This window comes from Homo sapiens, chromosome 2 (assembly GCF_000001405.40).
Source record: "Homo sapiens chromosome 2, GRCh38.p14 Primary Assembly".
Taxonomy (NCBI): Eukaryota; Metazoa; Chordata; class Mammalia; order Primates; family Hominidae; genus Homo; species Homo sapiens.
The window spans coordinates 43161097-43176437 of record NC_000002.12 but is presented as its reverse complement, the minus strand read 5'-3'; the positions used below and the strand labels follow the sequence as shown (position 1 = coordinate 43176437).

Here is a 15341-nt window from a genome sequence, read left to right as displayed (position 1 = left end):
AATAACTCCAGAGGCCACTTGGAGAATATATTAAAAATACAGTGCAGGCTGGGTACAGTGGCTCACACCTGTAATCCCAGCACTTTGGGAGGCCGAGTTGGGTGGAGCACGAGGTCAGGAGATCAAGACCATCCTGGCCAACATGGTGAAACCCTGTCTCTACTAAAAATACAAAAATTAGCTGGGTGTGGCGGCGCGTGCCTGTAATCCGAGCTATTTGGGAGGCTGAGGCAGCAGAATTGCTTGAACCCAGAAGGTGGAGGTTGCAGTGAGCCGAGATCGCGCACTGCACTCCAGCCTGGTGACAGAGCTAGACTCCGTCTCGAAAAAAAAAAAAAAAAAGCCACAATGCAAAGGAGGATAACTATCTTGCTGTTCAGTTGAGAAAGGTTGAAGGCTGAGTGGGGCATTGAGGCTGCTGAGAAAAAGGGATTGCTCAGAGAGGTAGAAGATCTGGCTTCAGCCCTGGTCTGGTCTCTTCTTCAGGAGAATAATCATTGCTTGACCTCCTCTGACCATCTGCTGCCAGTGAAGCCAGAAAATGGTGATTCACCCAACAGATGCCAATTGAGCCCCTCCTAAGTGCAGGACCTATCAGTCCTGAGACCCAAAAGGGGCAAGACATTTTCTGACCTCAGGGAGCTCAGGTCATTGTGGTCCATAATCCTCAAACAGTTAGCAATGTCACACATGCTGCCTTATCCCCTCCAACCCTCCAACAGCTCTTAGAGGAGTTTTCATATAGACTCTTTTCTGATTGTTTAGGCAGAAACCTCTCCCTGCCTCCATCCTTCTCTTGCCCCTGAGAGGCTTTGAGACTCATCTATCTTCATATGTACATTTCCCACAGGACCAGGTACAGTACTGAGTATATTACTAAGTAGTCATTTAGTCTTTGCTGAGGCTAATTAGTAATAATGGAGAAAAACTGTTCTCCCGCTGACCTTGAATCCAGACCACAGACAAATTCCTTAATTTATCCAGAAGTTTTCAAAAGGTGCTATGGGCCCTAGAGTCCCTGTTAAAGAATGAGGCTGACCAGGTGGTCCCATTCTGTGAGACCACAGGGCTGTTACTGTAGGCTCAGAAATGATGACCTTGCTGAGCCTTTAAGGCCACAACCCTGTGTACTGTGGACAGAGTGATCTCTGAAGGCTGCCAGTCACTCCAAGTGAGCCAATCAGCACAAGCTATCTGGAATTAAAAGCTATATTAAGTTATGAATGAGAGGGCTCCTGTGAGGATGGGATCTGGTGTCCTGTATTACCATAAGCTCTACGCTGCTCTAGACTTTGATTGTTGAGGCAGCTGAGATACAGGCAAGCCCAAATCTAGAGCTTGGAAAGGACCCTGTGAGGCTATTCTAGTCCTTTGGGGGCCTCAGTGCAGGTAGCTCTGGAGTGAGAAATGGGGTAGGACCTGGGAGCCTCAAGTGGGAAGTGACTATGGGGGGTCAAACATGCTGGAATGCATTTTGAGGGCTGTTTTTATTTCCTGGACTTGTATGTTTTTATTTCCTCTTTGCCCTTCCTTAGGATTTACTAAAGCTCTTTGGGAAGTTTCAGCTGCTTCAGCTGTGTGTATGTGTGTGTGTGTGTGTGTGTGTGTGTGTCAGATCTTCGGTGTGAGGTGATGGACAGAGGACAGTGAGGGATTTGCTGGGGGTGAGGTTGAGCTTGTATCAGTATCAGGAAGCAGAAACTCTGGGTTTTATGGTCGGGGGGCAGGGGTTTTTCTCTTCCCCTCCCAGACCCTGTTGCAGCAGTGAGGCGGCCCAGGTCATGACGGGGATTATTTCTTCCTTTCATTTCTGGCAAAAGCTACAGGAGGGGAGTTCCCCTTCTCTGTTTGTTTTGATTCTGTTGTTTTCTTAAAGAGAGGAAGGAAAACCATCATCACTTTTTCGGTTTTGTGAACAATAAAGGCAGGCTGAGAGGATGTTCGCCTGGGCTGGGGCTGTGGGGGCTGGGCCAACACCTCCTCCTCTTTCCCTCTGGCAACCCTTCTCCTGGCAGCTCGGCGCCTGGGGAGACCCCCAGAACACAGATCAGGCCACGTTGTGGGGTCAAGTTTAAGTGCCGGCTCTGCCTTTTAACTGCTTTTCACTGGTCTGAGGTGTATCTGTATAAATGGGAGTCATAGGGTTGTTGAGATTAAAAACAAAAATACTCGCTTGTAAAAACACAGTGCTGGGCCTACACTAAATGTCCCAGAAATGTCTTTCCTTTGCTTCCTTCCACTGGGGGGGTCTATATCATGAGCCCAGTGGTATGGTATACCCAGGGCCACCCTCCTGTCTTCCTGCTTGTCCACCCAGAGCCGGCTTCTTCCATGGCAGGACCTGCAAATGCTGGACTCACAGAAGGCTCTGAGAAGTAAATAACAGGTGAGGCTGGGGGTGCCTTCTTATTTCTTGGGGTTGTCCCCAGTCTGTTAAGAGACAGTCTAACCTTGCCTTTGAATTTCTTTTTCTTTTCTTTTTGAGATGGAGTTTCCCTCTTGTTGCCCAGACTGGAATGCAATGGCGCAATCTCGGCTCACTGCAACCTCTGCCTCCTGGGATCAAGCCATTCTCCTGCCTCAGCCTCCCAAGTAGCTGGGATTATGGGCACCTGCCACTACGCCCAGCTAATTTTTTTGTACTTTTAGTAGAGACGGGGTTTCACCATGTTGGCCAGGCTGGTGTTGAACTCCTGACTTCAGGTGATCCACCTGCCTTGATCTCCCAAAATGCTGGGATTATAGGTGTGACCCACTGTGCCCAGCCCTTGAATTTCTCCTAGCCCTTCAGTTCCTCAAGCTTCATGCCTCCCAAGGTTGCACCCCCCATGGCCTGTCCTGCAGTCCTGGGGCCCTTCTCTGAGGGGATGAAGGGGGCACTTCCCTGAACAGAGAGAAAGGGAGACCCACACCACTTGGATTAAACTCCCTGGGCCCCAGCTGGCTCTGCAACTTGGCCAAGAAGCCCTATCTCCTAGGGCCTCAGTGTCTTAGTCCGTAAAATGGTTCCTGAACTTTTAAAATACAAACACTCTTTTGTAGAGTCGAAACACTTTGCAGACCTGCACTCTGTGGCAGTACTTGTACTTTTAAAATCTTTTGATTAAAAAAAGGACAAATGGGCTGGGCGTGGTGGCTCACCCCCATAATCCCAGCACTTCGGGAGGCCGAGGCAGGCGAATCATGAGGTCAGGTGATCGAGATCATCCTGGCTAACATGGTGAAACCCCGTCTCTACTAAAAATACAAAAAAAAAAAAAAAATTAACTGGGCGTGGTGGCACATGCCTGTAGTCCCAGCTACGCAGGAGGCTGAGGCAGGAGAATGGTGTGAACTCGGGAGGTGGAGCTTACAGTGAGCCCGGATTGTGCCACTTCACTCCAGCCTGGGTGACAGAGCAAGACTCCGTCTCAAAAAAAAAAAAAAAAAAAAAAAAGACAAATGACCATCTGCAAGGATACCTTCATCTGTGCTTTAATTTTTTTAAAATTTTATTTATTTATTTATTTTTGAGATGGGGTTTCGCTCTTGTTGCGCAGGCTGGAGTGCAATGGCATGATCTCAGCTCACCACAACCTCCGCTTCTGGGGTTCAAGCAATTCTCCTGCCTCAGACTCCTGAGTAGTTGGAATTACAGACATGCGTCACCACGCCCAGCTAACTTTTTGTATTTTTAGTAGAGATGGGGTTTGTCTGTGTTGGTCAGGCTGGTCTTGAACTCCTGACCTCGGGTGATCTGCCCACCTTGGCCTCCCAAAGTGCTGGTATTACAAGCATGAGCCACTGTGCCCGGCATGCAATGCTTTTAGATGAGTGTATATTTTATTCAACAGCCCTAAGTACTTTTGAAAATGTGTCCCCTTGGCTGGGTGTGGTGGCTCACATCTGTAATTCCAGCACTTTGGGAGGCTGAGGCAGGCGGATCACCTGAAGTTAGGAGTTCGAGACCAGCCTAGCCAACATGGTGAAACCCCGTCTCTACTAAAAATACAAAAAATTAGCCGGACATGGTGGCTGGTACTTGTAATCCCAACTACTCGGGGGGCTGAGGCAGGAGAATTGCTTGAACCTGGGAGGCAGAGGTTGCAGTGAGCCGAGACTGAGCCACTGTACTCCAGCCTGAGCAACAGAGTGAGACTCTGACTCAAAAAAAGAAAAAAAGAAAATGTGTTCCCTTATGTGGGAGGCATCAGCTTGTGGATGATGCTGATTCCTAAGGGGCTTGAGGCTCCCAGCATGTGCAAATTTGTGTCTTTGAGGGGACAGATAGCCCTGGAATTAGTTGATTCCTCCTTGGCCCTCCTGGGGCAGACCCAGGGACTCAGGGACACCAGATGGGTAGCCCTGGCTCAAATGCAAAAGTCCAACAGTGACTGACCAGAATGTGCAGTGTAGTGGTTTCTCTTTAACATGTGGATCCTGCCTTGGATGCCTGCCAGGGCTTCCATCCTTGTTCTGCCACTAACCAGCTCTCCCCCAAGGCATGCTACTTTATCTCCTGGGCCCCAGGATTGTCACCTATAAAATGAGGTTGACAGTACTTGCGAGTTTTTGTGAAAATTAATGAGATAATGAACTCATGAGACTTACTTAGCACAGGGCACAGTTGTTGCTTAACAAATATTACTTTTTTTTTTTTTTTTTTTGAGATGGAGTTTTACTTTTGCTGCCCAGGCTGGAGTACGATGGTGCGATCTCAGCTCACTGCAACCTCCGCCTCCTGGATTCAAGCGATTCTCCTGCCTCAGCCTCCCGAGTAGTTGGGGCCTGGCTAATATATATATATATTTTTTAGTAGAGACGGGGTTTCTCCATGTTGGTCAGGGTGGTCTCAAACTCTGACCTCAGGTGATCCACCCGCCTCGGCCTCCCAAAGTGCTGGGATTACAGGCATGAGCCACCACAGCCGGCCCAAATATTACATTTAAAAGCAAAAATAAAAACAAACCCACGAGTGCCCAAGCTTCTCTTCTTGCAGTTGCTGCTCACCATCCTGTGGGCTGGTGCTGTCTGCTTTTGGAATGGTCTCCTTTGGCCCCTCCATCCTTCAAGCTCAGCCTCCTTCAGGAAGCCCTCCTGGCTCCTGCAGACTGTCCCTGCAGACCCCTTCCCTTGCCTATGCCCCTTTAGCATGCGGCGCTGGCCCTCCTACGTGGTTCCCTGATGGGCCCTGTCTCCCTGAGAGCAGGATTCCAGTCCCCCTGCACTGTTGCTTGGGGAGCCCTGCAGGTCCAGGCGCCATTCCCAGCCCCACACAGCTCTGGAGACCAGAGCTTGGTTCCCAACCACATGAAGGAAGGCGCACGGAAAAACCATAAACCCGAAGGCTGAGCGGGTTATTTGTCAAAGCAGGACAGATCTGCGGCCAGGGACGTGGAGGGAGTGCGCTGGCCCTGAGTGGAAGCGAGCATTTCAGGGAGCCGGGATGAGCACCGAGGAGCTGGCACGGGCAGGGCACGGCAGGAAGGAGGCCCATTAACACTTCTGCCCCGACCACGCTTCCTCCGGCACCTCGGCCAGGATGCACACAGGCGCGTTTGTCCCACTTTCACTGCGGCACTGTGTTTGCAGCAGCCCCGGCTCCCCAAGCCCCAGGTGGGTGGGTGTTGCCTGGGCACAGATGCCCTTTATGGATGGGCAGTGCTGGAGGGAGGCAGGTTCAGAATTGACCTTAGAGCTACCTCCCTGCCAGCAATGCAGCCACTCAGGAGGCCTGGTTGCATGGAGGCCATGGCATTGCCCCCAGGGACCCCAAATCATGGGGGTAATCCCAGGAGAAAGCAGCCGCCTTTAAAAGGCGAGAGTGCCCCAAGTGAGCCCTCCCTCCAGGGCCCATCACTCTGCCTGCTGCCACCTCCTGGCACGGGGACTGTGGATTCTCATCTCCTTGAGGGGCTCCAGGTGGCAGGCCTGCCTTGGTGAGGCTCGCAAAGGAGAGGGAAAGAAGGAAACCCCATTGATGCCTCATTGCCCTCCTTCCACCATCCCAGGAGGAGTGGGGCCTCAACCAAACATCCAAGGACTACCTTCCCTTCCATCCCTTCCATGAAGCCCAGCCTGCGTTAGCCTGAGAGTTTATTCACAGAAGGGCCTTTGGTGCTCTTTCTTAGGCCAGTGGGTGACAGAAGTCACACATGCCCCAGACAAACCCTCCAGTCACGCCCCACTGAACTTCCATCCCCCATTCACACTTAGCCTCAAGACCCTCTGCCCTGCCCCAAGGCCTGCCTGGGTTCTTTTTTTCAGCTGTCTTTTGCTCATTTAACTAGGGACAGGTGCAGGCACGTGCTGGCTGACTGTCAGCGCCCCCTAGAGATGGCCCAAGGACCCGCACCCACCCCCAAGGAGGCCTCAACTGAACCTTTTCTTTGGAGGCTGGGAGGTGAAGGAAGGGAGCCTCCGTTCCCTGCCAGCCACGACGCCAAGCTCACCCCGGTGCAGTTAGCCCCTCTCTGTAGAGATCATTGTCCTCCTTTGACATCTGGGGAGACTGAGGCTGGGAGAAGAAAGAAAAGTCAAGCCCTGCCTCCTGGGGTTCTCAGTCTAGCTGGGGCGGCGTCAGGTGGGAGGGGCTCGTGAGTGGGAACAGAGCAGGTCCTCCCTGGGTGCCCGCCGGTGCCCTGCCTGCAGAGTCACAGGCACTGTGCTCCGGGTGCCCCTTCTCTCTGGCTGGGCTTGGCGTGGCAGATGGACCACCTTGAGGAGGGCAGGAGGGGCTGCCAGGCCCTCAGGAAGTCAGATGAGCTTCCCTATCTCCTGGAGCCCCCCAGGAATGGGACACCACACGGCCACAGCCACCAATGCTTGCTCACTTGGGTTTATCTCCAACCCTCTGATCCGACTGGAGGGTGTGCCACTGGCCTCAGTCACAAACCTTTTCACATCCTGCAGAACCAGATGTAAAGGTTGGCTGGCCAGGCACAACCCACCCCCGCCAATCCCCGCCACCCCCACAACACACACACAGACAGACAGAAACACTTCCTCCATGCCCAGCGCCCCTCCTCCCACACTCACCACACGGATATCCCTGCGGACACACCTCGGGCACAAATACGTTCTCCACCCACGCCCTGTCCCCTTGGGGGCATAGACAGCACACACGCCTGTGCTCGCCTCACAGCCCCCGAAACCTCCCTCCCACCACAACCCCACAGACACAAAGATGCCTCCACTCCCTTCCCAGACACTGCCCTGGCCTCAGCAAGCTCACACATTGAGACTCCACCTTGTCCGAGACTGCACGCTTGTGCCCTCACGTGCTCAGGAACCCACTCTGCAGGTATCCACATGCCCAGGAACCTGAGCCAAGCCCCTCACGACCCTAGCCTGGATCAAGTCATTTATGGTGATAAAGCACTTATTTATAGTTCACAGGTTCTGAAAGGCAAGTGTGTGTGTGTGTGTGTGTGTGTGAGAGAGAGAGAGAGAGAGAGAAAAAAAAAATGAGCAGGGTGTGGGACAAGCAGGGCAGAGAGGAAGAAAGGGAAGGAAAAGTTCTGTGACTCACTTGCAGCTTAACAATGCCACATCTCAGCTCACCAGGCCAGGGGGAAGGACCCATTTGTCAACACAGCCAGGGCCTGGCTGTGGGCCAGTCAAGTGAGGTCCTGTCTCCTAGGCCGATGAGATAGGGAGGTGAGGATCCCCCTCAGAGACAATTGCTGTTCCCCCGTCTGCACCCTGGGGGGTATGCACTCTGGGCGGCCCCAGAGCCCTTCTGTTTATCCTTACCATAACTCCCCAGCTGAGGCGGCCCCACCACTCACAGCCTGGACCCTGCTTCCGTCTCTAGGACCCCGTGTTCCCCATCCAACCCTCCAGGCCATTCTTCTCGCTGTGCCTCCTGCCTGCAGTGCCCTCCATCCCCTCTGCACTTGGTCCGCTCCATCCTTCAGGCTCCAGCGCCTTCCCCTGTTCTGCCTCCCGCTTCTGAACGCTTCCTGCTTTCTCCAAACCACAGTCTCTTTTCCATGTTTTCTGGATAGTGAGCCACTACTCTCTTCCCAGTTAGACTATGAGCTCGTCAAGGGCAGGCCCTGGAATTTCTTCCTCTGCCCCCAGAAAGTCCCACCCAGGACCCCAGCAGGGCTGTGGAGCAGCAAGTGCCAGGATGTTCTTGAGAGGCAGACAGTAAGGGACTGAGAGGGACTGAAAAGGCCAAGTGAACCCTTCTGCAGCCTCTGCCTGGCAGGTCCTGGACAAGCCCCTCCACAGCTTAGGCAGGCTAGGGCCGCAAGGATTTCTCACCAGGTCCTGTCTGACACCAGGGTCTGGGGGACAGAAGCTGGGGGCCCAGAGAGCAGCACATGGCCTCACCTGCCTGGTGCCAAGCTCATGCTAGTTTTCCTCAGGAGCACACCCATCCCTACAATAGCCCTGTGACCTAGGGGCTTCCACTAGCTCAGGAAACTGAGGCTTAGAGAGGCCTGGGGATTGCCCAGGTCACCTAACTGGTGAGCAGCAGAGCCCCAGATCCATGCTCTTTCCTCCATTCCCTACCGCCCCTGCCCCCACAGTCCCTGCCCCCAGCAGCCCCTGCCTCTGAATCTCACTGGTCTCAGACCTCAAACTTTTGCTCTGTTTCATCTCCTGAAACTCTGCTCATTTCTTCCCCTATCACTCTCCTGAGCCTCCACCCCTTTGCCTCACTGCACCTCCTTTTACTTGCCCCTGGAGCAGAAGAAGGAAGAAGGCCCATAGCTGTGGGCATCTGTATATGCTGTTTCTCAGAGGGAGCGAGGCTTAGTACACAATTCTGGATGTGGAAAGCCTTTTCTTTTTTTTATTTAAAAGTATAATTTTTAAAAATATAATAGGGGCCGAGCGTGGTGGCTCATGCCTGTAATCCCAGCACTTAGGGAGGCCGAGGAGGGCGAATCACCTGAGGTCAGGAGTTCTGGACCAGCCTGGCCAACGTGGCAAAACCCCATCACTACTAAAAATACAAAAACTAGCCGGGTGTGGTGGTACATGCCTGTAATCCCAGCTACTTGGGAGGCTGAGGCAGGAGAATCACTTGAACCTGGGAGGCAGAGATTGCAGTGAGCTGAGATCATGCCATTGCATTCCAGCCCGGGTGACAGAGCAAGACTCTGTCTCAAAATAATAATAATAATCATAGGGACAGGTAGGCCAGATGTGGTGGTTAAAAAAAAAAATAGAGACAGGGTTTCACCATGTTACCCAGGCTGTTCTCAAATTCCTGGGCTCAGGTGATCCATCCACCTACAAAGAGCTGAGATTACAGGCGTGAGCCACCACAAGGCTTTTCTTTCTTTCCTTCTTTCTTTCTTTCTTTCTTTCTTTCTTTCTTTCTTTCTTTCTTTCTTTCTCTCTCTTTCTTTCTTTCTTTTTTTGAGACGGAGTCTTGCTCTGTCACCCAGGCTGGAGTGCAGTGGTGCAATCTCAGCTCACTGCAAGCTCCACCTCCCGGGTTCACGCCATTCTCCTGCCTCAGCCTCCTGAGTAGCTGGGACTACAGGTGCCCACCACCACGCCTGGCTAATTTTGTTGTATTTTTAGTAGAGACGGGGTTTCACTGTGTTAGCCAGGGTGGTCTCAATCTCCTGACCTCGTGATTCGCTCGCCTTGGCCTCCCAAAGTGCTGGGATTATAGGCGTGAGCGACTGCGCCCGGCCCCCTTATTTATTTATTTATTTTTGAGACAGAGTCTTGCTCTGTTGTCCAGGCTGGAGTGCAGTGGCACGATCTCAGCTCACTGCAACCTCCACCTCCTGGGTTCAAGCAATTCTCCTGCCTCAGCCTCCCGAGTAGCTGGGATTACAAGTGTGCACCACCACGCCCAGCTAACTTTTGTATTTTTTTTAGTAGAGACGGGGTTTTGCCATTGTTGGCCAGGCTGGTCTCGAACTCCTGACCTCAGGTGATTCACCTGCCTCGGCCTCCCAAAGTGTGCAAGGCTTTCCTTTTCTTTCTTTCTTTCTTTTTTTTTTTTTTTTTTTTTTTTTTTTTTTTTTGAGACAGAGTCTCACTCTGTTGCCAGGCTGGAGTGCAGTGGCATGATCTCGGCTCATTGCAACCTCCACCTCATGGGTTCAAGCGATTCTCTTGCCTCAGCCTCCCGAGTAGCTGGGATTACAGGCACCGCCCCTACACCCAGCTAATTTTTTTTTTTTTTTTTTTGTATTTTTAGTAGAGACGGGGTTTCACCATGTTGGCCAGGCTGGTCTCGAACTCCTGACCTCGTGATTCGCCCACCTCGGCCTCCCAAAGTGTTGGGATTACAGGCGTGAGCCACCACACCCAGCCTGCAAGGCTTTTCTTAAACCTGGACTCAGAAGCTAGACAGAAACCTGTCCTTCCCTCTCCAGGGACCAGCAGGGGCTGTGTTCCCAAGAGGCTCTCCTTGTGGGTTTGCACCTCTCTGGCTGACCGTCCCTTGCACACACACGTACCATAGCTGACTTGCCTTCAGAGCCCACAGAATCTCCTTTTTAAGCAATGATGGGAAAAACAGGTAATGGGTGCTGGGAAACACATGGGGCAGACTCTCTTCGTGGTGCAACCTCAAGCGTGTGATCCCAGCCTGCACATAGCATGTGATTATTTGATAAAAAATCGCATTCCAACCCCAAGCCAGCTGTCCTTGGTTTTCTCCACCGCCCCCCCTTGCTGGTTGCCGGACCCACCGTGTCTGTGAAATATGGTTGTGATTTTATGCTTAACCAAAGTCAAGGCTGGATTCCTTGATGAGTTCAGTTTTGCTAGAAGATAAGGACTGACCCAGATTCTTGTGTGCTGATACTATGGGGGGAGTGTTCCAGGGAAAGGGGAGATGGACAGCCTTTGGAGGGGTAGGGTCCACTCTTTGCCACAAGGGGGCTTTGGGTGGCACAGTTTGGAGTGGCTGCTAGCACACCTGGGGATGGTGGCCTTCATGACACAGAGTTGGGGGTGCAGGCCTGGCAACTTCATTACCTGGTAACTTCACTCGCCTGGTAACTTCACTACCCCCTTGAAGTAAGTGTGGCCATGTGAGTTGCTTTGGCCAAAGAAATGTGAGTAGAATGGATACATCTCCCTTCCAGGTAGCAGCAATAAGAGCAAATGTGTGAATCCCCATAGCCCCTTCTTGCTACCGTGTGATCATCTGCAATGCTGTTGATATGAAGCCTCCTTAAGCCCGGGTCTCTGGGCTAGCACAACACAGCTCAGGATCCTCCAAGTCATCTGCAGTGCTCATTTGCCATGACAGAAATAAATCTTTGCTGTTTTAAGCCACCAAAACATTGGGATGGGCCAGGCCCGGTGGCTCATGCCTGTAATCCCAGCACGCTGGGAGGTGTAGGCAGGTGGATTACTTGAGCCCAGGAGTTTGAGAGCAGCCTAGGATTTGTGTGTTCCAAGCAACATAGGAAAACCCTGTCTCTACAAAAAATAAAAAAATTAGCCTGGTATGGTGGCGCAAACCTGTGGTCCCAGCTACTCGGGAGGCAGGAGAATTGTTCGAGGCCAGGAGTTCCAGACTGCAGCCTTGACGACAAAGCGAGACCCTGTCTCTAAAACAAAACGAACCCCCCAAAACATTGGGATGTTTGTTACTGCAGCATAAACTAGCGTCTCCTGACTGATACACCTACCTCATTGGGTTGAAGAGATTACCTAGTGATGAGATTATGCACTAAATAACACAAGTGAAGAGCTTAGCAAAGTGCCCGGAAATACGCGGCTGTTTCTTCCTCCTTTTTCCCTTTCTCTTCTAATGTTATTTCTCTTTTTCTGCCACTTCGAACCAGGTCACAGGAAGCTTTCCAGGCCCACTAAGTGTGTATAATAGTACAGGAGCACAGAAGTGATAGGTGGCTGGGGGGACAGACATATATGCAAGTGACCATCACATGATGTGCTAAGTGCTATATTACCACTGTGAGTCCAGAGCTAGGCAAGCCCAGGGGAGGTATGTTTACTGACATCCTCAAAAGTGAAGTCTGAACTAGAGATACTAGATATCAAAGGGTTAGTTCGGTTTCTTTAGGCAGAGCAGGGAGAATGGAGCATTCTAATAATGACAGCAACTGCCATTTACTGAGCACCTGCTGTGTGCCAGATATTGAATCACGCAGTTTTCCAATTCTCCCCTTCTGTCGGATCTACAATATCTATGATGCATGTATTACTGGTTTTTCTTGTTGTTGTTTGCATCAAAATTTTTTTTCCCCAAGAGAGGATCTCTCTCTTTTGCCCAGGCTGGAGTACAGTGGAGTGATTACTGCTCACTACAGCCTCAACCTCCTGGGCTCGAGTCATCCTCCCACCTCAGCCTCCCAAGTAGCTGGGACTACAGGCATACGCCACCACACTTGGCTAATTTTTTTTTTTTTTACTTTTTTGTAGTGATGGGGTCTCACTATATTGCCCAGGCTGGTCTCAAACTCCTGGGCTCAAGTGATCCTCCTGCCTAGGCCTCCTAAAGTGCTGGGATTACAGGCGTGAGCCACCGTGTCCAGCCCAGCCCATTTCCTGCGTTTTCAGTTTTGCTCAAGTTGTTCCTTGTGTTTGGAATGCCCTTTCCCAAATATATCCTTCTGCCTGAGGCCTGCTTTTCCTTCTAAGCTCGGCCCAGTTCCCCCCTTGTCTCTTTGCTGAGATGGCCTGGCTGGAATGGAGACTTGGGGAGTGTGTTCTGTTTGAATGATCTGGTTTGAATGATGGGATGAGAATAGGAGTGCAGATATTTGCTAACATTTAATACACAGATTTCAGTCACACATGTATATGATTTGTGGAAGCATAATTATCCTGAAGGTGTGTGCCAAGAGTTGTTTCTTCCTGATAGCAGAACATAATCAAACAAGTCTGGAAACCACTGCTGTGCAGAGTTGTTGAAGTTGGTTGTTTACTGGCTGTGTGACTTGGGCAAGTCACTCAGCCTCTCTGAGCTCAAGTTTTCCTGCCTATAAAACGGGAATTATCTTGGTGCCTACCTCATGAGGTTATGGGGCCTTGGTGAGATAAAGCTTGGATAAAACTCAGACACATCTGTGCCTCCCAGATGTGTCTGAGTTCCAGCCTGGGCAGAGCCTTGTTGGGTGCGTCCAAGCTGCTGGTGGGTCCTGACAGGAGAGGCAGAGAAGGGAGGGGAAGAGGAGCTGCACCAGGTGACGGGGACTCTTGTGACTTAGGCAGGCTGAGCTGAGACATCCCAGTGGTGTTTGATAAAAGGCGGGGGCTCTTCTCTGGCCAAGTAAATATTAGAAGAAAAGGCTGTCTCCAGGGAACGGCTCCCCTCCCACTGCCCCTTGAGGGCCAAAGTCCCCAGGGGCCAGTCTGGAGGCTCCTTTTATGTGACTGTAAAGTAATCCAGGGCCTGGCAGGGTCGAGCCTGGGCGGGCACTGACGCGCAGGGCGGCATTGATGTGGTCAATGATTACCTTTTATGCCTGGCCATAAAGGCAACCGCCCAGCCCTCTGGACAATGCCCCCTCTAGACAATGCCTCGGGAGGGTGGGTGTACACACACACACACACACACACACACACACACACACACACAACTGCCAGGCAGGGACCTGTCCCAATTGAGGTCTCCAAAGACATCCTTGCAAGGCATCTCCATCTCCCTTGGAGTCCCTGAAGACTTGGCCCAGGAGCTAAGGGGTTTAGGTGGCCATAAGTGAGGCCAGTGAAGTGTAAAACACAAAAGAGTGACATCCAGGGGCCTGGATCCTGTTCCAGGTGTATCTATGCAGATGGGGAGGGGTCGCCACCCAGACTCAGGTACCACATCTCCAGGGAAGGAGGGTATTCTGGGACAGATCAAAGTCTACTCCCATTTTACCGGTGATGCAGCTGAGGTCTGTGCGTGCTGTGGCTTGCCCCGGGTACCAAGGATGGAGATGATGGCAGAGCTGGGAGTAGGACCCAGGTCTGCTCTGACAGTGACAAACCCTCTGGCCACTGCCCCCAAGGGGGTCCAAGTAGGAATATCAGGGGTCAGGAAGGGTTTGGGTCACTTCTCAGACAAGATATCTCTCCTGGGGCTCAGAGGGGAGCTGGTGAGAACCTGAGGTCGTGGCTCCAAGGCTGATGTGGGAAAAGACCTAGGGTGAGCCCCTCCAGCGGCCACAAAGGCCATGTGCAGGGCCCTGCCCTCATGGGGGCCCCTTACATAGCCCCACCTCATTCTGTCCCGATGCACAGATACTCCCACCACCTGGATGATGGCGGCTTTGCTATGCGGGTCAGGGCTGGGGCATAGATGGCCAGATTAATATTCTACCTCCTTGGTTGATAAGGCCCGTAACCTTTGTCCCGGCGAGCGAGGCTGGAGAAGCGGGGGCCATGGCCCTGGTAGGGAGGTCTCACTTTGTCAGGTTCCAGAGCCGGGGCATTGCTGCTGGGTGCTGAGGACAGGGCTCAGGAGACCTGGGTCCCCGGCCAGCTCACCCTGGGGCTGTGCATCGCTTTTCTCCCCAGCCAATGGGAGAAGGACTCTGTGCTGTCTTCCTGGTGAGGATGGTAAGGATCACACCAAGGACTCTGCAGGGAAGGTCCTGAATGGATCAGGCTGCTATCTTGAGGAAAGAGGGTTATTATTCACAGTAGTCATAAATGCCCTGTGAAATTGGAGTGGAGTTGCTTTGAGCTTTGGCCAGAATGCCCCAATCAACCTTTGGCTCTGATAAAGATAAGCAGGCTCAAGGTGATAACACATAAACCAGAAACTGTCAACAGGAGCTAATTAGGGCACTGGGTGCCGGGGTGAGCCACGCCCCCTACACCTGATGGAGGAGAAATCTCAGGTGGGGGAAGATGTGGGCTCATTGCCTGGACCTTAGCCTATTGCTTTTTTGTCACCTTCTGGCCACTTTTCCACCTCCAACCGCTACCTCCCACCCCTCTGCCTGCATTATATAACATAACATGAAACAAGATGGAATAAAACAGAATCCAATGTGATGGGTGCCATATAACACAGTGGAAAGAGTCCTGACTTGGGGCCAGGTGTGGTGGCTCATGCCTGTAATCCCAGCACTTTGGGAGGCGGAGGCAGGCGGATCACATGAGGTCAGGAGTTCGAGACCAGCCTGACCAACACGGTGAAACCAGGTGTCTACTAAAAATACAAAAATTAGCCAGGCGTGGTGGCGGGCACCTGTAGTCCCAGCTAATCGGGAGGCTGAGGCAGCAGAATCGCTTGAACCCGGGAGGCGGAGGTTACAGTGAGCCGAGGTCACGCTACTGCACTCCAGCCTGGGCGACAGAGCGAGACTCCGTCTCAAAAAAAAAAGTCCAGAATTGGGAGCCAAGGAACCCGAGTCCAGCCTGGTTCTGCATGCCCTTGAGCTGGTCATTTGTCCCTAAGCCGCAGTCTCCCT

The 15341-nt window shown here is 52.1% G+C and overlaps 1 long non-coding RNA gene across 1 annotated transcript, besides 6 other annotated features; it reads left to right on the top strand.

Moving 5' to 3' along the window:
* The first annotated feature begins 862 nt into the window (after window positions 1-862).
* On the top strand, window positions 863-4959 carry LOC124907755 (uncharacterized). Its single transcript, XR_007086298.1, has 2 exons — window positions 863-2386; window positions 4650-4959. It is a non-coding gene; the product is annotated as an uncharacterized LOC124907755 (long non-coding RNA).
* Window positions 2156-2235: an enhancer, noted in NCBI's record as "active region_15662". NCBI's record gives its function as "activates an Ori minimal core promoter by ATAC-STARR-seq in GM12878 lymphoblastoid cells {active_cell/tissue: GM12878}" and the evidence as "EXISTENCE:reporter gene assay evidence [ECO:0000049][PMID:35858748]".
* Window positions 5302-5987: an enhancer, noted in NCBI's record as "H3K4me1 hESC enhancer chr2:43397590-43398275 (GRCh37/hg19 assembly coordinates)". NCBI's record gives its function as "activates a minimal SCP1, AML or CMV promoter by ChIP-STARR-seq in naive H9 embryonic stem cells {active_cell/tissue: H9 hESC(naive)}" and the evidence as "EXISTENCE:reporter gene assay evidence [ECO:0000049][PMID:30033119]".
* Window positions 6163-6808: an enhancer, noted in NCBI's record as "H3K4me1 hESC enhancer chr2:43396769-43397414 (GRCh37/hg19 assembly coordinates)". NCBI's record gives its function as "activates a minimal SCP1, AML or CMV promoter by ChIP-STARR-seq in naive H9 embryonic stem cells {active_cell/tissue: H9 hESC(naive)}" and the evidence as "EXISTENCE:reporter gene assay evidence [ECO:0000049][PMID:30033119]".
* Window positions 6194-6488: an enhancer, noted in NCBI's record as "tiled region #1558; HepG2 Activating non-DNase unmatched - State 8:EnhW". NCBI's record gives its function as "activates a minimal TATA promoter and a strong SV40 promoter by Sharpr-MPRA in HepG2 cells {active_cell/tissue: HepG2}" and the evidence as "EXISTENCE:reporter gene assay evidence [ECO:0000049][PMID:27701403]".
* Window positions 6912-6971: a silencer, noted in NCBI's record as "silent region_11419". NCBI's record gives its function as "represses an Ori minimal core promoter by ATAC-STARR-seq in GM12878 lymphoblastoid cells {active_cell/tissue: GM12878}" and the evidence as "EXISTENCE:reporter gene assay evidence [ECO:0000049][PMID:35858748]".
* Window positions 8101-8747: an enhancer, noted in NCBI's record as "H3K4me1 hESC enhancer chr2:43394830-43395476 (GRCh37/hg19 assembly coordinates)". NCBI's record gives its function as "activates a minimal SCP1, AML or CMV promoter by ChIP-STARR-seq in primed H9 embryonic stem cells {active_cell/tissue: H9 hESC(primed)}" and the evidence as "EXISTENCE:reporter gene assay evidence [ECO:0000049][PMID:30033119]".